This window comes from Homo sapiens, chromosome 9 (genome assembly GCF_000001405.40).
Source record: "Homo sapiens chromosome 9, GRCh38.p14 Primary Assembly".
Classification (NCBI taxonomy): domain Eukaryota; kingdom Metazoa; phylum Chordata; class Mammalia; order Primates; family Hominidae; genus Homo; species Homo sapiens.
In genome coordinates, this window is record NC_000009.12 from 138,270,702 (window position 1) to 138,295,073 (window position 24,372).

At 46.1% G+C, this 24,372-nt stretch overlaps 1 long non-coding RNA gene and 2 pseudogenes across 2 annotated transcripts in view; 2 read left to right on the plus strand and 1 right to left on the minus strand.

The window, feature by feature from the left end:
* FAM157B (family with sequence similarity 157 member B) overlaps positions 1-1,372 on the plus strand; it is a 55,218-nt gene extending 53,846 nt beyond the window's left edge. The window contains exon 15 of the long non-coding RNA NR_146178.1: positions 439-1,372. This is a non-coding gene — a long non-coding RNA (family with sequence similarity 157 member B). The remainder of the gene's footprint in view (positions 1-438) is intronic.
* A 4,625-nt stretch (positions 1,373-5,997) lies between these two features.
* On the plus strand, positions 5,998-8,834 carry LOC105376333 (uncharacterized; annotated as a pseudogene). Its single transcript, XR_930463.2, has 3 exons — positions 5,998-6,665; positions 7,044-8,120; positions 8,678-8,834. The product of XR_930463.2 is annotated as an uncharacterized LOC105376333 (transcript).
* Positions 8,835-9,967: 1,133 nt separating this feature from the next.
* On the minus strand, positions 9,968-13,631 carry LOC102724447 (protein capicua homolog; annotated as a pseudogene).
* Positions 13,632-24,372: the final 10,741 nt, after the last annotated feature.

Below are 24,372 nucleotides of genomic sequence, written 5' to 3' on the forward strand. Positions count from 1 at the left end.
CCCCTACCCTGCCTACTGAGAACCAAAGGAAGGATCCAAATTCTCCTTAGCTCAACTCGAGCCATTTCCTGATTGCTTCATCAGCGAGGAGCTGGTTATTGGGCTGTCCAGGCCTCCCAAGCAGCACAGAAATGAGGTGAAGGAGTTTTCCTGTTGCTCCACTCTGTAAGGAGTTGGAGGGTGATGTTTACTCGTTTGCAGAGAGAGATGCCTTGTAGGCACCTCAGGATGGAGAGGGCCCTGATTCCAATGTCCTTTTTTTCTTCAGAAACAGGACCTTGCCCTGTCACTCAGGATGGAGTTCAGTGGTCCTATCATGGCTCATTATAGCCTCAAACTCCCAGGCTCAAGCAATCCTACCATGTCAGCCTTCCCAGTAGCTGGGACTACAGGTAAGCATCGTGACACTCAGTGAATTTTGTTTTTATTTTGTTGTAGAGATGGGACCTCAGTATGTTGCCATGGCTGACCTTGAACTCCTGCACTCAAGGGATTTTCCTACCCTGGCCTCCCAAAGTATTGGTATTACAGGCATGAGCCATTGTGCCCACCGTCTCTGGTTCTTAACCTTCTGCCTCCCTCTTCCAGTTTTAAAGAATGCTTGTAATTACATGGGCTCTCCTAGATACTCCAGGATAATCTTGTTTTAAGGTCAGCTGATGAGCAACATTAATTTTATCTGCACTCTTAATTCCCCCTTCCTCTGTAACTGTGCTGTGTAACATAGGACATGAGCAATTGGTGGCGGTGGGGGTTATTACTTTGGCCACCACAGTAACTATTTTATGCCAGGTACTCAGCTAAGCACTGGTGAATTAAGCATGAATAACACACACTCCCTAATCTCCATCCATTCATGGGAGGAGCACTTCACCTGCCATGCTCCTGAGAATCTCGGGAGTCATAGAAGTCTTCTATGAGGAGGTGATGCCAAAGCGGACAAGTGACAGAGGAGTCAAAGCTAGCTAGGAAGAGAGTAGAGGTTTAAGGGGAAGCATATTATAAGCAGAGGATATTACCCACTTCAGAGACTCCCAGAGGAGAAAGAGTGTGCGTTCAAGGGGCAGATGAGGCTCAGTTGGACTCCATAGCAGATGAAATGGAGAGGGGCAAGCAGTGAGGCTGCCTTGCAAGGCAGGGCAGAGCAGGGGCTGTTAAGGAGTTTGGACTTAATCCCTGAGGCAAGGAGAAGTGATGTAAATGGGGGAGTAACATGATGAGATTCATAGATTAGAGACATGGCTCAGGCTGCTGTAGAGAAGGCACCGGGAAGAGCAGATGGCTCAATGTGTGTGCAGAAGACCTCTCCCTGAGTTTAGGGAGAGGTTTTTAAAACAGAAGAAGTTTGAGTAATTTAAATGATGATGGGAAGGAGCTAAAAGTGGGGGATAGGTTAAAGATACAGGAAAGTGGGAGGAAGAACTGACAAGTGAGGTTCCAGAGAGGGCAGGAGAAGAGGAGATTCCCATAGGGGGATTAACACTTTCTTTTCTTTTTTCTTTCTAAGACAGGGTCTCACTCTGTCGCCCAGGCTGGAGTGCAGTGGCACAATCTTGGCTCACTGTAGTGTAGACTTCCCAGGCTCAAGGGATTTCTCCCACCCCAGACTCCCAAGTAGCTGGAACTACGGGTGTGCACCACCACCACACCTGGCTAATGTCTCTTTTTTTTGGTAGACACAGAGTCTCACTATTTAGCACTGATTGGTCTCCAACTCCTGGCCTCAAGCGATCCTCCTGCCTAGGCTTCCCAAATTGCTGGGATTACAGGCATGAGCCACAATGCCTGGCCTCTGCTAGTTCCGTATTCTCTAGAGTTGTCTTTACTTTGTGCTAGTGTGTCCCTCATTGTGCTGATCCTCTGTAAAAATTAATACCTTTTTTTTTTTTTGAGATGGAGTTTCACTCTTGTTGCCCAGGCTGGAGTGCAATGGCGCTATCTCGGCTCAGCGCAACCTCCACCTTCTGGGTTCAAGCAATTCTCCTGCCTCAGCCTCCCGAGTAGTTGGGATTACAGGCATGTGCCACCATGCCCAGCTAATTTTGTATTTTTAGTAGAGATGGGGTTTCTCTGTGCTGGTCAGGCTGGTCTCGAACTCCTGACCTCAGGTGATCTGTCTGCCTTGGCCTCCCAAAGTGCTGGGATTACAGGCATGAGCCATTTTGCCTGGCCAAAATTAATACTTTTTATATTAAATTTACATATATATATACGTTTTTTCTTTTTGATACCGGGTCTCACACTGTCACCCAGGCTGGAGTACAGTGGCACAACCTCTGCTCACTGCAGCCTCCACCTGCCAGGCTCAAGCAATTCTCCTGCCTCAGCCTCCCGAGTAGCTGGGATTACAGGTAAGTGCCACCACACCCAGCTGATTTTTGTGTTTTTTGTAGAGACGAGGTTTCGCCATGTTTCCCAGACTGTTCTCAAACTCCTGAGCTCAAAGCAGTCCACCCACCTTGGCCTCCCAGAGTTCTGGGATTACAGGTGTGAGCCATCTTGCTCATTCTAGTTTAAACTTTTGAGTGGTTTGTGTCTCCTGATTGGACTCCTACAAATACAGAATTGATGCTAGGAAGGGTACCAGGAGATAGACGCACACAGATGGGATTTGGGAATAGGTTTGGTTATCCAAGGAGCAGTGCTGAGCTCCTTGCAATGGGATATGGGATGCTGGTGATTTCCAGGATGTGAGCTCACAATGACTCAAGCTGCCACATACTGTTGATTGTGAAATGCCAGTTGAAGCATATGTCCTGCGAGCTTAGGGGTGCTACAAGTTGACCACTGCAGCAGTAAAGATGACTCTGAAGAATGGCGTGGGTTGGTTCCTTTCAAATGCACTTGAGCAGCGGTCTCCAACCACAGGGCCACAGAGCTGGAGGTGAGCAGCAGGCGAGTGAAGGGAAACTTCATCTGTATTTCTAGCCCCTCCCATCGCTTGCATGACCACCTGAGCTCCATGTCCTGTCAGATCAGCAGCAGCATTAGATTCTCACAGGAGCACAAACTCTGTTGTGAAGTGTGCATGCGAGGGATCTAGGTTGTGTACTCCTTATGAGAATCTAATGCCTGATATTCTGTTACTGTCTCCCATCACCCCAGATGGACAGTCTAGTTGCAGGAAAACAAGCTCAGAGATCCCACTGAGTCTACGTTATAGTGAGTTGTAGAATCATTTCATTATATATTACTATGTAGTAATAATAGAAATAAAGTGCACAATATATGTAATGCACTTGAATCATCCTGAAATTATTCCCTCATTCCCAGTCTGTGGAAAAATTGTCTTCCACACATTCACTCTGTTTTTTGGTAGAGGCAGGGTCTTAATATATTGCCCAGTCTGATCTCAAACTCCTGGCCTCAAGTAATATACCTCTCTCAGCCTCCCAAAGTGCTGAGATTACAGGCATAAGCCACCACCCTCAACCAAGACTTTCTTAAACCAAATAAAAATTAAGTGAGATTACTTGAGCCCAGGTGGTCAAGGCTGCAGTGAGCCTGATTGCACCACTGCACTCCAGCCTAGGTGACAGAATGAGACTGTCTCAAAAAATAAAATAAAATACAAATTAACCCTTCATGACATTCCCAGTAACTTCCTAAGTGCTCCCCACAAGTCTTTGAATTCTGTTTAATTCTCACATAACATTTAAGACATTTAAGAACTTATGTCTGTCTGTGTCATCCCTTTATGTCAAAAGATGTCTTTTTGTCACTTCCAGCTGGATCTACCATGAAAGACTTGTGAATCCAGGAAGAGAGACTGACTGGGCAACATGTTATTCAGGTACAAAAAGATTTGGACTGTAACTTAAAAATGATCAAATTATGTTTCCCATGCATCAGGTGCAATGGGAAGCTCTTCTGGAGAGTGAGAGAAGCTTCCAGTTAAGGTGACATTGAAGCCAAGTCCTGAAAGATGAGGAAGAGTTGTATGAGAGTGGGGAGGGAAGGGGGAGGTGGAGGGATGGGGAATGGGCCGGGATGGGATAGCGCAAACTGTCCGGGAAGGGAAACCAGCACTGTACAGACCTGAACAACGAAGATGGCATATTCTGTTCAGGGAATGGTGAATTAAGTGTGGCAGGAATGCTTTGTAGACACAGTAATTTGCTTGTATGGAATTTTGCCTGAGAGACCTCATTGCAGTTTCTGATTTTTTGATGTCTTCATCCATCACTGTCCTTGTCAAATAGTTTGGAACAGGTATAATGATCACAATAACCCCAAGCATAATATTTCGTTAATTCTCACAGAATCACATGTAGGTGCCACAGTTATCCCCATTTTATGAATGGAGTGATGAAAACCTTAGGAATAATGAATGATTTGCGCAGGCTCACCTGGATATTAAGACTGAGTCAAATGTTGGGTCTGGTCTGACTTTAATGTTTGCTTTGTTCATGAGCACCACATATTGCCTCTCCTATGCAGTTAAGCAGGTAGGTGACAGAAAAGCCCATGTTTGTCTCTACTCACACACTTCCGACTGAATGTACGTATGGAGTTTCTACACCAGATTCTTCAGTGCTCTGGATATTAACTGGGTATCCCATGACTTTATTCTGACACTACCTGGAGTTAGCACAGACCCCACAAGTTAGGGGCTCAGTCCCACGAGGCCATCCTCACTTCAGATGACAATGGCAAGTCCTAAGTTGTCACCATACTTTTGACCAACCTGTTACCAATCGGGGGTTCCCGTAACTGTCTTCTTGGGTTTAATAATTTGCTAGAACAGTTTACGGAACTCAGAAAAACAGTTTATTTTCTTTTTTTCTGAGAGAGAGGGTCTTATTTTGTTGCCCAGGCTGGTGTGCAATGGTGCAGTCATAGCTCATTGCAGCCTTGATTGTCTGGGTTCCAGTGGTTCTCCCACCTCAGCCTCCCTAGTAGCTGAGACTACATGCCTGCACCACCACATCTGGCTAGTTTCTTTTATTTTTTGTATAGATGGGGTCTTGTTGTGTTGGCCAGGCTGGCCACAAATTCCTGGTCTCAAGTGATCCTCCCACCTCAGCCTCTGAAAGTGCTGGGATTACAGATGTGAGCCACCACATCTGGCCAGTTCATTTCCTATTACTGGTTCATTGTGAAGGATACATCTCAGAAACAGTCAATGAAAGAGACGTGCATGCTGGATGCAGTGGCTCATGCCTGTAATCTCAGCACTTTGGGAGGCCAAGGTGGGAGGATCGCTTAAACTCAGGAGTTTGAGACCAGCCTGGGCAACATGGTGAAAACCTGTCTCTATAAAAAATTAAAAAATAATAATAATAACTGGTGTGGTGTTGTGCACCTAGAGTTCCAACTACTAGGGAAGCTGAGATGAGAGGATACCTTGAGCTGGGGACTGGGGAGGCTTAGGTTACAGTAAGCTGAGATTGTGCCACTGCACTCCAGCTTGGACAAAAGAGCCTGATCCTGTCTCAAAAAAAAGAAAGATACCCAGGGCAAGTTAAGTTCGGAGAGGCACAGAGCTCCCATGCCCTCTGTTGAACATGCGACCCTCCCAGCATCTCCTGTGTCCAGCAACCCTGAAAGCTCTGCAAACCCCTTTCAGGGTGTTTATGGAGGCTTTATTATGCAAGCATGATTGATAAAACCTTTGGCTGTTGGTGATTAAGTCAGTCTCCAGCCCCTCTTCCCCCTGGAGTTCAGTGCATGAGGCTGAAAGTTCCAAGCCTCTTACCATGTGGTTGCATGGTAATCAGCCCTCCTCTTGAAGAAATTTAGGAGCTTGCAGTCACCCAGTCATCTCAACAACATCCCCAAATGCATTCTTACCATGCTGGAGATCCCAAAGTTCTTAGAGGCTCTTGTGTTAGAAACCTGGGACCAAGACCAAATATTAAAACAAAAGATGCTCCTGTCACATCTATCACTGAGGTCTTTGTAAGAGCTTTAGAAGCTCTGTGCCAGGAACCAGGGACAGAGATTAAATATATATTTCTTTTCTTTTTTTTGAGACAGAATCTTCCTGTGCCATCCAGGCTGGAGTGCAGTGATGTGATCATAGCTCACTATAGCTTTGGCCTTCTGAGATCAAGCAATCCTCCCATCTCAACCTCCCAAGTAGCTAGGACTACACACGCATGTCACCCATGCCCAGATCATTTTTGTAGAGTCAGAGTTTCACCGTGGTGGCCAGGTTGGCCATGTTGGCCAGATGGGGTCTTCTTTTGTTGCCCAGGCTGGCCACAAATTCCTGGGCTCAAGTGATCCTCCCACCTCGTCCTTGTAGAGATGAGATTTAGTTATGTCGTCCAGGCTGATCTCAAACTCCTGGGCTAAATCGATTGTCTCACCTCAGCCTCTCAAGTATGTTATGAAGGTTATATGTTAGGAAGGGTCCCAGGAGGTAAACCCACACAGATGGGATTTGGGCATAGGTTTGGTTTCCCAGGGGGCAGTGCTGAGCTCTTTGCCAGTGGGAAATGGGATGCTGGTGATTTCCAGTAGGTGACCTCACAGTGACTCAAGCTACCACTTACTGTTGATTGTGACGAAATGCCAGCTGAGGCACATGCCTTGGGAGCTAAGTGGTTGCTGCCCTTGACCACTGTGAAGACTGGTGTGGGAAGGGTCGTTTTGGATGCACTTGAGCAGGGGTCCCCAACCCCTGAGCCATGGAGCCGCAAGGAGCCACACAGCAGGAGGTGAGCGGTGTCGAGTGAGGGAGTGAGGGAAGCTTCGTCTGTATTTACAGCCACTCCCCTTTGCTCACATTCCCGCCTGAGCTCCACCTTCTCAGATGAGCAGCAGCATTAGATGCTCATAGGAGAACGCACCCTGTTGTGAACCGTGCATGTGAGGGATCGAGGTTGCGCTGTCCTTATGAGAGTCTAATACCTATTGATCTGTCACTTTCTCCCATCACGCTCAGGTGGGACCATCCAGTTGCAGGAAAACAAGCTTGACACGCCCACTGATTCTACATTATGGTGAGTTCTATAATTATTTTATTATATATTACAGTGTAATAATGGAAATAAAGTGCCTAATAAATGCAAATGTGCTTACATCTTTTGGCCCAGCTCCTACCTCCCGGCAGCCTCTCCAGGCCCAGAACTTTCTCCAGTCAGCCTCTACAGACCAAGCTCATGACTCACAATGGCCTATTTAGGCCCATACCCTACGTCACGGCAGCCTCCGCAGATGAGGCTACTGCCTCACAACAGCCTCCACAGGCACAGCTCCATCGTTACAATGGCCTCTTTAGACCCAGCTCCTGCCTCCCAGCCTTCTCTCCAGGCCCTGAACTTTCTCAAGTCGACCTCACCAGGCCCAGCTCATGCTTCTTTGCAGCCTCTCCAGGCCCAGCTCCTGCATCTTGGTGGCCCCTCCAGGCCCAGCCTCTGCCTCCCGTCAGCCTCTACAGTCCCAACGTCTGCCTCACAGCAGATTCTTCACGCCCAGCATCTACCTCACTGTGGACCCCCCAAGCCAAGCTCCCAACCTTTCAGCAGCTTCTACACACCCAGCTCCCGCCTGCCAGTGGCCTCTTCAGGCCCATGGGGCTCATTCCTGACAACGGCCTTTCCAGGCCCAGTTTTTCCCTTCCGGCGGCCTCTCCGGGCCCAGAACCTCCTCAAGTCAGCCTCTCCAGACCCACTTGCACCCTCCGGGCGTTCTCTCCGGGCCCAGCTCTTCTTCCTGGTTGGGTCTCCAGGCCCGATTCCTGCCTCTCAACAACCTCTTTGGACTCAGTGCCTACCCATCTCCTGGCGGCCTTGGTCGGCCCACAGCTTCCTCAAGCCAAGCTCCCCAGGCCCAGGTCAGGCCTCACGGTGGCCTCTCCAGGATGAGCTCCTGCCCTCCGATGGCATCTCCAGGCCCCAAATGGTCTCCGGTCGGTGGGCTCCTCCACGCCAAGGTTGGGCCTCCCGGCGACTGCCGCAGGCCCAAGTTGTCCTGAAGTCGGGCTCTCCCAGCCCTGCCTCCCAGCAAGTAAGCAAGCTCTTTTGGCTCAACTCCTGCCCAGCTCCCAACCGCCTTTGTAGGCCCCGAACTTTCTCCAGCCAAGCTCTGAGGGCCCACCTCCTGCCTCCTGGTGGCCTGTACAGTTCTAGCACTGGTTGGAGAACAGCCTCTGCAGGCCCCGCCCTTGCCTCCCAGGGGCCTCTCCAGGCCCAGCTCTTGCCCCCACGGCGGCCTCCCGGGGCCAAGTCCCTGCCTGCCTCCCAGCAGCCCGCGTGCGGCCCAGCTCCTCCCTCACGGTGGCCTGTTGATGCCCAACTCATGCCTCTGGCACCCTGCCCAGAGGCGTGAGCCCCTGCCTCACACTGGCCCCTCCCACGCGGACAGAGGTCAGCGTGAGCCCCTTGCCTCACACCGGCCCCTCCCACGCTGAGAGAGGTCAGTGTGAGCCCCTTGCCTCACACCGGCCCCTCCCACGCGGACAGAGGTCAGCGTGAGCCCCTTGCCTCACACCGGCCCCTCCCACGCTGAGAGAGGTCAGCGTGAGCCCCTTGCCTCACACCGGCCCCTCCCACGCTGAGAGAGGTCAGTGTGAGCCCTTGCCTCACACCGGCCCCTCCCACGCGGACAGAGGTCAGCGTGACCCCCTGCCTCAACAGGCCACCGTGAGGGAGGAACAGGATCGCACTCGGGCTGCTGGGAGGTAGGCAGGGACTTGGGCCTGGGAGGTCGCGGTGGGGCGAGAGCTGGGCCTGGAGACTCCCCTGGGAGGCAACAGCGGGGTCTGCAGACGCCCTTCTCCAGCCGGAGCTGGGACTGTTCAGTCACTGGGAGAAGGGATGTGGGTCTGAAGAGCTTGGTTGCAGAAACTTCGGGGTCTACAAACGCAGGCGGGAGCTGAGCCAAAAGAGCTTGTTTGCTGGGAGGTGGGAGATGCAGCCAGGAGGAACAGCTGGGCAATGCGGGAGGCAGAGGCCAGGCCTCCTCAAGTTGGCCTCTCAGACCCACTTGCAGCCTCCCGGCGCCCCCTCCGGGCCCAGCTCTTCCTCCCGGCTGCATCTCCAGGCCGGACTCTGGCCCGACTCCAGGTCCCAACAACGTCTTTGGACTCAGCTCCTGCCCAGCTCCCAGCGGCCCTGGTAGGCCCACAACTTCCCTAAGCCAAGCTCCCCAGGCCCAGCTCAGGCCTCGCGGTGGCCTCTCCAGGCTCAGCTCCTGGCCCTCCGATGACATCTGCAGGCCCCAAATGGCCTCCGGTCGGTGGGCTCCTCTAGGCCCAGCTTGGGCCTCCCGGCGGCCTCCGCAGGCCCAAATCGTCCCGAAGTCAGTCTCTCCAGGCTTAGCTCCAGCCTCCCGGCGGCCTCTGCAGGCCCAAGTCGTCCTCAAGTCGGCCTGGAAGTGGGCCTGGAAGAGCAGCAAGTCGGCCTCCCTGGGCCCAGCTCCGTCCTCTCGACGGCCTCTCCAGGTGCAAAACTTCCTCGAGTCAGCCTCTCCAGGCCCAGCTCCTCCTGCCTCCCAGTGGCCTCTTTCAGCCCAGCCCAGCTCATGGCTCTCGGCGGCCTTCGCAGGCCCTGCTTTTGACTTTTGGCAGCCTCTTCAGGCGCAGAACTTGATCTCCAGTCGGCCTTTGCAGGCCCGGCCTCCTGCCTCTCGAAGGCCTGCACGGGCCCGGCCTCGGCCTCGGCCTCACAGCGGACTCTCCACGCCCAGCTAGCTCTCGCCTCACTGCGGCCTCCCCAGTCCAAAGCTCCTGCCTTTCGGCCACTTCGGCAGGTCCAGCTCCTGCCTGCCAGTGGCCTCTTTAGGCCCAGCTCATTCCTCACGTCGGCCATTCCAGGCCCCGTTTTTCCCTTCCGGCAGCCTCTTGGCCTCTAATTTGTTTATCTTTTGTGTATAAATCCCAAAATATTGAATTTTGGAATATTTCCACCATTATGTAAATGTTTTGGTAGGTAATTTATTTGGAGTGAGTTTCTGCGTCAAGCCCGAGTTTTTTATTTTATTTTCCTTATTATTTGGTGTTAAACAGGTTTAATGACGGTCATGGCAACTTTTTGGCACAATGAAAAATGTCGCCCACGATCAACGTGTTCTGTTCTGGGGAAGGGGGCAAAGGCAGGGTGAATCACTTTCTTAAAAAGTATAGCTCAAGTTGGGAGTGCAGAGGGAATGGGGAGAAAACCCTCCCGCTGCCTGTGTCGAAGTGCAGGAGCCCCCACCCCCATACTCACCTGAGTCCAGCCCCTCTGGGGAAAGAAGGGGTGCATGAACTCCCCCTAGTCCACAGGCGCCTCCCTGTGGCCCAAGGCCCTCTTCACACTCCATCTTGTAGCCCCAGCAGGAGCTATTTTCCGAAAAGTGAAAAGCTCTGAAGGTCCCACAATTCATGGTATGTACAGGGGCTCGGAGGAGGGAAACTGCCCAGCTTTCCCCCGGCACAGCTGCAGGGGTAGGGGGTATAGATAAGAGGAGCAGGCCTTGGCCAGGCGTGGTGGCTCACGCCTGTAATCCCAGCACTTTGGGAGGGGGAGGCAGGCAGATCACAATGTCAGGAGATCGAAATCAGCCTGGCCAAGATGATGAAGCCCCGTCTGTACTAAAAATACAAAAATTAGCCGGACGTGGTAGCGTCTACCTGTAATCCTAGCTACCCGGAAGGCTGAGGCAGGAGAATGGCGTGAACCCGGCGGGAAGAGGTTGCAGTGAGCCAAGATCGCACCACTGCACTCCAGCCTGGGCGACAGAGCAAGACTCGGTCTCAAAAAAAAAAAAAAAAAAAGAGGAAGGCCTTACTCCGTCCCAAACTGAAAGGATTAAATGGCTTCACCTGGGAGAAGATAACCATCCTGCCCTCCATTGCTACCCCCACATACTGTCCATGTTCTCAGGGGGTACTGTGAGTCCTGGGATCTTTGGGGTTGCCCACCTGCCTGTGCTAGTTATGGAGACCCCCAGGTGTTGAGGCAGGGCTGGGGTGTCCCCTTCCAACCAGGCTGTCAAGGCCCCAACTCTGGGGCAGAGGCAGTGGCAGGGCAGCCAGGGTTGTGCCAGAGCCTGAGCAGGTTGAGGTGGGGTCAGGCAGGGCTGGGAGTCAGGGCAGGGGCAGCAGCAGTGGACCTGCTATGCACACATCTTCTTCTCCAAGGTTTGTGTGCAGAACATCCTGCCCATGCTGCCCCAGCAGCTTCAGTTGGCACCTGCCTCAGTCCAGCCTCTGGGAACCATGCAGCAGCTCCCAGCGGCCCTGCACCCACCACCAGCATCCGTTTCACCTGCAGTTGAAGATCCGTGAGGTGCCCAGAAGATCATGCAGTCATCAGTCCCACGGAGCAGCCTGCGAGGCTGAGGCTCCTCCCACTGGACCGCCCCCCAACTGGCACCACTGCTGCCCCTGCCCCTACTCTCAGCCTCACGTGACTCTCGGGCAGAAGCAGTGGTGGGGCAGCCAGGGCAGCGTCAAGAGTCTGAGCCAGGTGAGGTGCGGTCAGGACCCCCACAGGGCTGGGAGTCAGGGCAGGGGCAGAACAAACCTTGGAGGGGAAGATGTGTGCATAGTGGGCCTGGAGGGCGGCTGTGGCCTAGTGGACAGGAAGAAGCAGTGGGCCTGGAAGAGCTGCATGATCAGGGCCGGCACTGGTCCAGGGTACGTGCAGTGAAGAGGACAGCGCCTTCTCGGTCTCCGGTTCCCTGAGCCTGTCCTCGGCTTCTCCACCTGTACAGGCAAAGGGGAAGCTGTCCCCATCACACGTGGCACACTTGGGAGTGTTGGGCTTTGGACTGCAGCTGGAGCATCTTCTCATCTTGCATTTGGGCGCGGTGGGGTCCTCCAGTGTGGGATCCATGTCCGTGGGGTTCCCTCTGCCCCGACCCCGAAAGCCCAGTCAGTTTCTCTTCAGGCTCTGCCCCCCGGGTGGCTCAGCCCAGCTCCTGCCTAGGAAAGCCTTAGTATTGGGAGGGACCCTGATGACTGAGGAGCCTGGTAGCTCCAGGTCGCCCACACTTTCAGGTCTCTTGCACCAGAAGGTGGCAGGATCCATTGGGAGGAAACAGGCCACCTTGGAAGGCGTCCCTGGGCCCCCATCCCCAGGGGTTGGGGCCGTAGGGGGCCCGCTCTGCTGCGTTGACCAGACTCCTGGGCTTTGAAGGCTCCTGGGCCCAGTAAGAAGGAGGTGGGTGCCAAGGTTGAGGAGGAAGCATCCGAGTATGTGTAGGAGGAGGACAGGGTGTGACCATAGACTGCCAAAAGCTGCAGGTGGATCGGGGGACCCTGGGGGCTCAGGATCCAGCAAGGGGCGGCAGGAGTAAAGGAGGAAGGAATGACAGGTGCAAATACCTTCCCACCAAAGCCCTTGTTGCCCTCTGGCTCCTCCCCAGAGTTGTCCCCACTCTCAGTCGGTCACCCACTCCTTGAACTTGAGATCGGTGTCGGTGGTGCTAAAGCCATCATCAGCAATGACATCATCACCCCCTCCTCATGGATGACCGTGTGCTCTTCGTCACTCGCTATGACCTCGCTGGCCATGTGCTGGGAATGAGCAGCTCACGTGGGCGGCAGCAGGGCTGCCCACGGGTCACCTCCCTCACCAGGGGCTGCAAAGTGGCCTGGAGCTCCATGCTGAGTAGAAGGCTTTGGGCCAGAGTATGATGCAGTGCCAGACACCACCTGTGTCAGTTCCCGTAGTGCCTGACGGTCTATTTCCCTGCCGTCCAGGCTGTGTACCCCGCTGTGGGAGAAGGCTTGGGCCAGGCTGAGCCAGGTTCCCTGACTGTGTGCAGCCGTTCTGCCCCACAGAAGCTGCTCCTTGGTATCCGAGCTCTGGAGTGTTTGGGCTGCAACTGACAGGAGTTCAGAGGACACCCCAGGGGCAGTGGCAGTGCCCATCTCTGATATGCTCCGCTCCCACGAGCCCTTGTTACACTCCTGCTAGCCCCTGGCTTGTGGGCTTGGCCTCTGAGCTGGACTTCTTTCGGTCCTTGTTGCAAGTGGGCCACCTTCACCTGGAAGGCCAGGTTGTATTTCTGCATCTCATTGGGCCCCAGGGTGTACCACCGCTCGCTCAGCATCTGGCTGACGGTCCGGTTATCCTGGTTGGGATGACCCTGGTGCGCCCCGCCAGGGCCTGGTGCCGCCTGCTGAAGATCATGAGCGCCACTCATGGGCCACCGGATGTGGTCCTTGTCTGATTTGTTGGGGCTGCGTCCATCCTTCTCAGAAGATGAGTCCTGTTCCTTGCGCAGGGCACTGAGGGACTGGGCCTGACATCATCTGAGTGGTAGAGGCAACTGGGTGTCAGGAGACATGATGGAGAGGAAAGCATCATCATGGTCATTCTCTGTCTCACTGTCCAGCAGGGACTCCCCTGAGGGGCCCAGGGCTCCTCCTCCATGGTGGGAGGTGAGCTTTTACCAGGTTCCACCACCCCCAAAGTGTGTGGGGTTGCGGGCCCTGGGCTTTCAGGGCAGGTGGCTCCAGGGGGCTGCCCAGGGTCAACACTCCCTGTCCCACCTGGTGGACGCTCATGAGCAACGGCTGCCAACTTGGCAGGTTGTTTTCTCTGGTTGGAGGCCACTGAGTGACTGGCAGGTTGCTGGGCCTCGTGTGGCTGCAGGGAGGGGTCAGGAAGGGGATGGAGTACCAGGAGAACACGGCCGCAGAGTGACCTTCCACATTCCTCCACACGAACATGCTGACGCCACGGGAGGCCTCACTGAACGCAGGCCTGGGGGCCGAGCACTTGGTCCGGGCAGGGGGTTCCTGGCAGGGGCTCACACCTCCTCGCCCCCTCCTCAGCCAAGGTGGCTTGGGCCCAGAGAAGGGGAGGTTGGAGAGGAGCAGAAGGCCAGGCCTCAAGTTTTGTTTTTTTTGTTTGTTTTGTTTTTTGTTTTTGAAATGTAGTTTGACTCTTGTCACCCAGGCTGGAGTGCAGTGGCACGATCTCAGTGGCCTTCATACCTGGCTAATTTTTTGTATTTTTACTGGAGGTGGGGTTTTGCCATGTTGGCCAGGCTGGTCTTGACCTCCCGACCTCAGGTGATCCACCCACCTCAGCCTCCCAAAATGGGATTACAGGCATGAGCCACCGCTCCCAACTTCATTCATTTTTACTTGAAAAACTCCGTTAAGCATTTTTTTAAGGTAGACCTAGTGGTCCTGAATGCCCTCAGCTTTGTTTGTCGAGGAAACACATTATTTCTTTTTCCTTTCTGAAGGACAGCTTTGTCAGACATAGTATTAGTTGCTGGCAGTTTTTTTCTTTCAGCACTTTGAATGTATTATTCGATTCTGTCCTGACCTGCAAAGTTTCTTTAACTTTTGACTATTTGATTATATTGTGACTTGGTGAGTATCTATTTGGTTTGAACCTCTTTAGGAATCTTTAAGCTTCATGGATTTAGATGTCTAAATCTTTCCCATGATTTAGGCAGTTGTCAGCCATTCTTTAAATAAGCTTTATTCTCCTTTCTCTACTTTCCTTCTCAAACTCCCATAACCTGACAATGGTTTGCTTAATGGTGTCTTGTTGGCTTTCTTTTCTCTGTCTCTTTTTTTTTTCTTTTTGAGACAGAGTCATGCTCTGTCACCCAGGCTGGAGTGTAATGTGTGGTCTCGGCTCACATTGCACTCCAACCTCCGCCTCCTGGGTTCAAGCGATTCTCCTGCCTCAGCCTCCCAAGTAGCTGGGACTACAGGTGTGTGCCACCACACCCGGCTAATTTTTGTATTTTTAGTAGAGATGGGGCTTTGTCATGTTGGACAGGCTGGTCTTGAACTCCTGACCTCTTAATCTGCCTGCCTCGGCCTCCCAAAGTGTTGGGATTACAGGCTTGAGCCACCACACCCAGCCTTCTTTTCTCTCTTTTATTCTTTTTTTCTCTGTCCTCTGACTGGATAATTTCGGAAGATCTATATTCAAGTTTACAGATTCTCTCTCCTGTTGAAGTTGACTATTGTGTTATATCACCCAGTCTGGTCTTGAACTCCTGGGCTCAAGCGATCCTCCCACCTTGGCCTCCCAAAGTGCTGAGTTTACAAGCATGAGCCACTGCATCCAGTCAGTCCCAGCACTTTGGGAAGCTGAGGTGGGAGGATCACTTGAGCTCAGGAGTTTGAGACCAGCCTGGGCAACGTACTGAGAACTTGTCTCTATATTAAAAAAAAAAAAAAAGTCTTTGGGAGGCCAAAGCGGGAGGATCACCTGAGGTCAGGAGTTCGAGACCAGCCTGGCCATCATGGCAAAACCCCATCTCTACTAAAAACACAAAAATTAGCCAGGTGTGGTGGCACACGCCTGTAGTGGTGATGCATGCCTATAGTCCCAGCTACTCAAGAGGCTGAGGCAGGAGAATCACTTGAACTGGGAGATGGAGGTTGCAGTGAGCTGAGATCGCACCAGTGCACTCCAGCCTGGGCAACAGAGTGAGACTCCATCTTATAAAAGGAAAAAAGAAAGAAAAGAAAAATTCCATATCTGAGTGTTTACTCCTGAGTTTTTGAGATTGTTATTAAGATTGTGCTCTACTGTGATGATTTGGGTTTGTTTGATAATCAGAAAAAAAGCGTATTCTTTTAGGTGTTCAGCCACACTGCTTTGGTGTCACAACTGCACATTGGTTTCACAGCTGCAGGACAAGTTCGAGCATCTTAAAATGATTCAACAGGAGGAGATAAGGAAGCTCGAGGAAGAGAAAAAACAACTGGAAGGAGAAATCATAGATTTTTATAAAATGAAAGCTGCCTCTGAAGCACTGCAGACTCAGCTGAGCACCGATACAAAGAAAGACAAACATCGTAAGAAGCAATAGTTTCTCTTACTATTCTGAGAGCCTTATCATTCTACATCCCATCTTCCTGTGAGTTTGTCTTTGTAGCATTTAACTCTAATTGCAGTTCTCATTTTAAAAACTGGCTTGCTTATTGTATATTTTCCCCAACTAAAGCGTGAACTCCTAGCAGGGCGTGGTGGCTCATGCCTGTAATCTCAGCACTGTGGGAGGCCGAGGTGGGTCGACTACCTGAGGTTAGGAGTTCGAGACCAGCCTGACCAACATGATGAAACGCTGTCTCTACTAAAAATACAAAAATTAGCTAGGCGTGGTGGCTGGGACCTGTAATCCCAGCTACTTGGGAGGCTGAGGCAGGAGAATCACTTGAACCCTGGAGGTGGAGGTTGCAGTGAGCAGAGATCTCACCATTACACTCCAGCCTGGGTGACAAGAGCAAAACTGCATCTCAAAAAAAAAAAAAAAAGGGGGTGAACTTGAAGGCAGGTCCTGTGTCCATCTTTTCAGATTCTGTATCCCAGCACTTAGGACATAGACAAACACGAAGATGACAATCAATATTTGCCAAAATGAAAAAACAAAAGAAACATGTAACATCATGTAAAAGAAGCTGGTTAGGTGGAGAAATTTATTTACCATAGTCTTGCTTGTGGATCCAGTAGTGACTTTTACAGTTTATATCTAAATAGAAGCTGGAGGCTTTGTTGGGGACTCATAGGCATAAAATATTATTTATTATAGAGTTAAATGCTACAAAGACAAATCTAATTAATAGGCCTATTTTCCTTTTTAAATTCTACTCATAATTTCTTCATAGTTTTTATGATAAAAGGTTGGATTTTGATTAGAACTCCCATGATTTTGTGTCAGAATTAAAACTGGTATTAGAATAAATAATTCAAAAGCTAGAGAAAGAGTACAAAGAGAAGCCATGCATTGCATTTGAATTATAATATTATGTCTTACAGATTTGGGGTATATGCTAAAGTTACCAAAGTTGTAGAAAATAAGGCCGGGCATTGTGGCTCACATCTGTAATTCCAGCACTTTGGGAGGCCGAGGTGGGCAGATCATTTGAGGTCAGGAGTTTGAGACCAGCCTGGCCAACATGGTGAAACTCCGTCTGTACTAATAGTACAAAAATTAGCCAGGCGTGATGGTGTGCACCTGTAGTCCTTGCTACTCAGAAAGCTGAGGCAGGAGAATCGCTTGTACCCAGGAGGCAGAGGTTGCAGTGAGCAGAGATTGTGCCACTGCACTCCAGCCTGGGTGACAGAGTGCTATGAGTCACCACACCTGGTATGAGCCACCGTGCCTGGCCCACAATGACTTTTACACATGTTGTTAAACCATCTTACAGATTTTATAATTTGGGGGAAGAAAAGTTTTACTAAATTGTCTTTTAATGGAACCTCTACAAGAACCAGAATCTTTGCTTTGTTCACTTATGTATCCATTCCTAGGCCTAGAAAAATGTCTGACACATAGCGGCAATTATTCATTGAATAAATGGACCCAGCGATAGTACATTAGCTATGCTATATGCATACATTAAAGATGTAGATTATCGACTTTCAAAAGATAATTAATGTAACTTCTTACTGCTTCTGAACATGTTTGTGAGTTATATTGCTGAGGGACCTTTATCTTCTCATTCTTTCATCTTAACCCAGTGTTATAAAATTGAAATCACCAATATTATTCCATATCTAAAATTAATATCTACCTTGTAAAAAATATCACTCTGCTGCATTTGAGAATAGACTTTTTAGGTAATAATGATGCAATCCATAGGGTTTTTTGGGGGCACAGAGGGATTCATGCTAACAGAACATTTTATTTTCTATTTTCCCAGAGCTGTAAAACATGAAATTACGGTAGTATAAGGCATATTTTTACTCTTTTTATAATTTTTTCTAAAAAAAAATTAGTGTTTGTTCCCTATATAACTTTTAACTTTATAGGTAAATATTTGTTTCTTTCAGCTCCAGTTTTATGTGAAATAGAGTTTTCAGATTTATGTAGCATGGAAAGTTTTAATACGTCAGAGTTACTGATTTTTGCCAATCATTTTCTCAATTATTTCTTTTTTATCTTTAGTTGATTTTTTTGTAGTGACACATTTTGTTTCTAGTCTCATTTCCTTTTGTTTATATTCTATATATATTTCATTTTTGGTTACTATGAGAATTACATATAACATCCTAGAGTTATAACATTTTAATTTGAATTTATTTCAACTTAAGTTCAATCACATACCAAAATTCTACTGCTATATATATAGCTCTACTCTTTTTATGTTATTGATGTGACAAATTATATCTTTATTCATTGTATACCAGCTAACAGATTTACAATTACATTTTATGCATTTGCCTTTTAAATTATGTAGAAAATAAAAAGCAGAGTTACAAACCAAAATTACAATAGGACTGTTTTTATGTTTGTTTATGTATTTACCTTTACCAGAGAGCTTTGTATATTCATACAGCTTGCTTATTTACTTACATAGTTATTGCCTAGAGTTCATTTATTTCAACCTGAAGGACTTAACACTTCCTGAATGTCAAATTCAGGGATAAATGGATTTTTTTCAGTTTTAAAAAAAAATCCGGAAATGTCTTAATTTCTCCTTCATTTTTGAAGGATAAGTTTTCCAGCTATATATTTCTCAATTGACAGGTTTCTTCATTATTTTAAATATATAATCCACTGCCTACTGGCCTTCAAGGTTTCTGCCGAGAAATCAGCTGCTAATGTTATCTGGATCCCTATCTGTGAGAGTTGCTCTTCTCTCTGAGTTTTCAACATTCTCCCATTATCTTTTTTTTGTTTGTTTTTGAGACAAATAATTGTACATATTCATGGGATACAGAGTGATATTTTGATACATGTATACAATGCCCAATGATCAAATAAGGATAATTAGCATATCCATCACCTCAAATATTTGTCATTTATTTGTATTGTGAACAGTCAACATTCTTTCTTCTAGTTTTTTAAATTTATAAACATTTAAATTTTATTACAGAAATTTAAATTTTTTGATTCTGAAAAAGTCATATATGTATGCAACATTTTTTATCATTTATTTATATATTTATGCATCTTTCCTTTTAGTTTTGACAGAGATTTTCTATTTTATCATTATTTCAAAAGAACTCTTACCTGTATTTATTTATCAAGTATATTTCCCTTGTTTTTTCCTAGTATATTAATTTATTTACTTATCTTCTAAAAATCCTCCATATAATCTGTTTATTTTGTTTCCTTTCTATAATTTCTTCAATAATTAGTTCTGTTCTATTTTCCATTAAAATATTTAAATCTTGTATGAATTTTTGTCAGATTAGAAATTTAGGGCGTTTCTTAATTTCTCTATACTCTAGCTTTTGACTTTTTTTTTCTGACCTAAGAGGTATTTAGAGCACATTTTAGATTTTTTATTTTGACTAATCATTTAAAATGTATACTAATCTTCAATTTAAATAAAAAACTGGTCTATAGTGACAAAAATTACAAATGAGCCTAACTAATAAATTATCAGCTGTGTTTATATGTATAAGCATGCACAGATTTTGGTAAATATGTACATAGTATATTGGTGAGCTTATTTTTATCATTCTTAACTCATTGTGTAGTCTAAACGTTGGGGAAAAAATAAAATACAATAATCAGATGGTGTGAATAAGAAAATTGTTCTAATGTTTGTAAACCAAGCAACTGTTTTAACTGCTCCCCTCTTCCTGATTGACTTCTAAAAGGGATTGATCCATATTGGGTCCTATCATATACGTCACGGTATAACATCTCCAGCTATAAAATGGAAATTTGAGAATAACTTTGCTGCTACTCAGATACATTTTATTTCAAAAACATACACTAAGGTGTTGCTGTTGGATCTTTCCAAAAACATATTCACACAGAACTTTCAATCACACTGAGCCATATTTGAACAATCTTTCAAGGTCAGCTCTGGCATAAGCTAACATTATACCATTTAACTCAGAAATTTCTTTAGTATTTGATTAATGGGTTTATGTTTGATATGTAATGTAATTTTCTAATGCTAAATCAAGTGGTAATTTTGTTAGTCAAGTTGATTTAGTGGCTTGGGAAGAAAGCTTTTAATGTTCCCCTAATTTTTCTTACCTTTGACATGATCCTTCACATGTCTTATTTTGCTTAGTGATTTTTCTTTTTTTTTTTTTTTTTTGAGACAGGGTCTTACTCTACCACCCAGGCTTGAGTGCAGTGGTGCAATCACAGCTCATTGCAGCCTTGACCTCCCAGACTCAAGCTATTCTTCCACCTCAGCCTCCCAAGTAGCTGGTACTACAGGCACATGCCACCAAACTTGGCTAATTTTTGTAATTTTTGTAGAGACAGAGTTTTGCCAAATTCTCAGGCTGGTCTGGAATTTCTGGGCTCAAGTAATCCTGCCTTGGCCTCCCAACATGCTGATATTACAGACATAAGCCACAGTACCTGGCCAGTTTTCTTTTTAAAAAAATCTATTGGTTATTAATTTGAAGCCTTCCTTTTCATAGCTGTGCTCCTTAATTGGGAGCAAACATGAATGGACCACAACTTAGCCAATTTTCTATATACGATCTTTGCCATCCTAATTTAAAGGAATATTAATTCTTTCTTTTCCTCTTTCATTCCACAAACCTCTATTGACTACATCTAAGTTCTAAATGGTGCACTGGATGTTGAAAAAGTTGATGATGAGCAAGAACAAAATTCCTGCTTTCAGGAGACTTACAGTTCAATATGGGAAATATAATTTGTTAAAATATAAAAGTGCAATTGTGTTACATGCTGTACGAAGTACATGTTGACATGTGAGCATATAATAAATGGGCTGGAGGCCAGAGGATTGCCAAAGAGAATGGGCCTCCTGCTGAGATGAAAAGTTGAGCAGGGATTAGTTGGCGAAAGTGGAGGGACGATCCTTTCTAGGCAGGAGGAAGAACATGTACAGAATCTCTGAGGTGTGATGCGACAAAGTCTATATAAAAAACTGAAGAAAGGTCTAATGTGGCTTAAATACAGAAGCTAGTAGGAGAGGAGTTGAAAAGAGGCTGGAGAAGTAGAAAGTGTCTGCATTCTGCAGGAACTTATATTGTATAAAAAGAATTTCTCTTTATTCTAAGTGCAATGTGAAGCCAATGAAGTGCTTTAAACAGGTGATGTGATTTGATTGAATTTATTACTTCACTTAACAAATATTCATTACATGCCCACTGTTTGTCAGATATTGCTGTAGCCCCTGGTGATACAGTAGGGAATAAAACAGGCAAAAATCCCTGTCCTCTTGCAGCTTATAATGGACTGCAATGTTTAATATGTCAGAGGAGGTCCACGGAGGAGTGACTTCTAAGCAAGAATCTGAAAAAAATGAGGATATCTAAGGAGGGAACAAATGGTTCAAAAGCCCTATAATTGCAAGCAGGCATGATGAAGCAATTGCAGTTGTCCTGACTCTCAACACCGTGGAACTCAAAGGAGATGGAAAGATTCCTTCTCTCCCTCATATATTTTCTCTCTTTCTGTCTATATATATAGAATATGAGACATTTCCCTAATCATTATGTGTAATTACAATTACATATATATATGTAATTGTAATTACACATAATGATTAGGGAAATGTCTCATATTCTTCTACTCAGAAATAAGCAATATAGCAATTACTGTTTTTTACATTTTACAGTTACAGTTTCAGAGAAAGTTTGATATTTATCTAAAATTTTTCAATGTATGAACTTTTTCATTTGACAAACCATAATTGTACATATTCTTGGGATACAGAGTGATATTTTCTTTACATGTATAGAATGTGTAGTGATCAAATCAGGGTAATTTCCACTAATTTAAAATGCCACCTTTATGTTATTGTAATTTATATATATACTATATATATACACACACACATATATATATATACATGTCCACATACAGTGTGTGTGTGCACATGTACACACATGCATATGTGTATATAATGCCCAGTATAAGCAATGTGCACAAATAAAATTAGCTAACAGAGATAGTATAGAGTGAGAGGAGAGGCAGATTAATCTTTGAGGAAAAGCACAATTTTATAGCTGAATGGAGAAAGCTGAGGTGGTTTCTAAGATGGAGAATAAGACAAAAAATGTAAGTACGTTGTTTGACTGAATTCAAGAAAGAAGGGTAAAAGAGAAGAAAGTAGTGGTCTTATCATTAAATGCCACAGAGAGGTAAAGATAAAGACAACATATTGTTTTGGGTTTAGTAATTTAAGGGTGACCAAATTCCGTTTTGGAGGAGGAACAGATTCCATGTCCACTAGAATGGAATGAACAAGAAATGGAGGAGGAAAATAGGTAGTTTTTCAAAAGTTTTCAAAAATATGAAAAGAAGAAATGAAGTGGTACTTGGAAGAGATTGTTGAAATGGGAGAGACTATGGTGGCTTGTTTAGAAGCAGTTGAGATAGATCCAATTGAGATAGAGATATTGACTATATAAACAAAAGAATGACAAATTAATAGTGTAATGGATAACTTGACTTTGGCAAATATTGTGAATTTTTGTGAAAGTACAACTAAAAGGCAATGTCACTCCAATAATCACCAGAGTAATCAATTTGCTTATTGCTGTCCCTTTAAATATAGTTCTCTGGTATCAACTAACATGTTTTTAACTAATGATGCTTCTTAAAGAAAAGGGAAAAGACCTTTTTCTTTCTTTCAGTCTTCAATGATTCACTGCTTCATCTCGCTCCACCAAAGATAAATGAAATCTACATCTCTTATACATTAACAATGCATGACAATTTACAAATAGCTAAATTTTTGGAGCTAACTTTAAGTACCTGAATGGAATTTAATCAACCCACTAATCTCCTTCTCACTTCTCAGTTATTTATCAAGTTTATGTCAAGGGACAAGGAAAAATTATCCAAACATTGTTTAAAACAATCATCATTAATTAGTAACACTTATCCAGGGGGGTTTTTAACCTTTCCCCCACTCAAGGATTATTCTAATGTCAGAGTAGAATAAAAAATAAGTGCAGCGATGCTGACTCTTCCAAGCTTAACATTTCTCACAAGTCAATTAGCTTTGTACTGGGAGGAGGGCGTGAAGGGCTGCTTGCGGTAGTTGTGTAGCAGCAGCACAATGGCCGCAGACAAGGAAAACAGTTTCTAGGAATTCCTCGTATATAATTTTATATTTTTGACAAGATTAATGACCCATGCTCCCTTCCTCTCCATTTCTTTTTTTGGAATTCTGTTGGTATGTAGTTACTATATTTTATTAAAGGAAATTAGCCTTATCTCTTATTATATTTTATTAAAGAAAATTATTATATTATTCCTTTATATTTTTATTAAAGGATTTTATTATTATTAAAGGAAATTAGCCTTATCTCTTATTATATTTTTTATGACCTTCAAAGTAGTGTCTCTGCTTAAAAGTGTACCCTGGCTGGGCGTGGTGACTCACACCTGTAATTCCAGCACTTTGGGAGGCCGAGGCGGGTGGATCACGAGGTCAGGAGATGGAGACCATCCTGGCTAACACGGTGAAACCCCGTCTGTACTAAAAATACAAAAAATTAGCAGGGCATAGTGGCGGGCGCCTGTAGTCCCAGCTACTCAGGAGGCTCAGGCAGGAGAATGGCGTGAACCCGGGAGACGGAGCTTGCGGTGAGCTGAGATCGCACCGCTGCACTCCAGCCTGGGCGACAGAGCAAGACTCCGTCTCAAAAAAAAAAAAAAAGTGTACCCTGAAGCACACATCAAGCGACATGTAGAGTTCATAAATTCTGGCCAAATGGTCATACCTCAAACCTCATCAGCAGTAAGGCTCTTTACTTGCACTGACAAATATGAACGCTGGGGAATTTGGAAATGATATATAATATATAATATTTTTTTCTAGCTGATCCATATGAATTCCTCTTATTAAGAAAAATAAAACATCCAGGATTCAATGAAGAACTGACTATCACCTTGTTAATCATTCAGAAACATGTTGCAGGCTTAAGCCATTTTTGATATAGATACTGAAACAATTACTTGCTAAGAGCAAACTTCAAGGTATGGATAAGGCCCTGAGTCATCTTCCTGAGCTGAATGATAGTTAAGCTGAATGTACGTATAAAATATGATTTTCTAACCACTTGCTCGCCAACAAGGAAAACTTTTAAGTAGAGCAGAACCTGAATAGACAAGACATTTCTTTCTTTTGGTAGAAAATGATTTACCATCACTGTGTAGTTAATTGTAGACTAGGTAATTTTAACTTTGTGATTTATTGCCGGAGACATTTTCTTCTGTACTGTAAAGTGTGTGTCAAAAAAAAAATAGCGATTTTGGAGGATTAGGGGACTTTGATAAATTGCCTGCAATTCTGGCAGTATGAACTGCATATTAATTTCTCTCTTTCAAGAACATTTTTATTTATTAATTCCTTACAAAAACTCCCTAAACTTTGGAACAGCTCTCAATTGCCTGTATTCTTTTTTTTCTTATTATGGTACTCTTCTAGAGATTTGGCTTGCATCTGTGAATAAGCCAGGACATCTTCAGAAATTGTCTGATTAAAAACACCACCAATGGAGTTTCATTAAATTTGTATTGCTCTGACTAGTGAAACACACACATCTATGT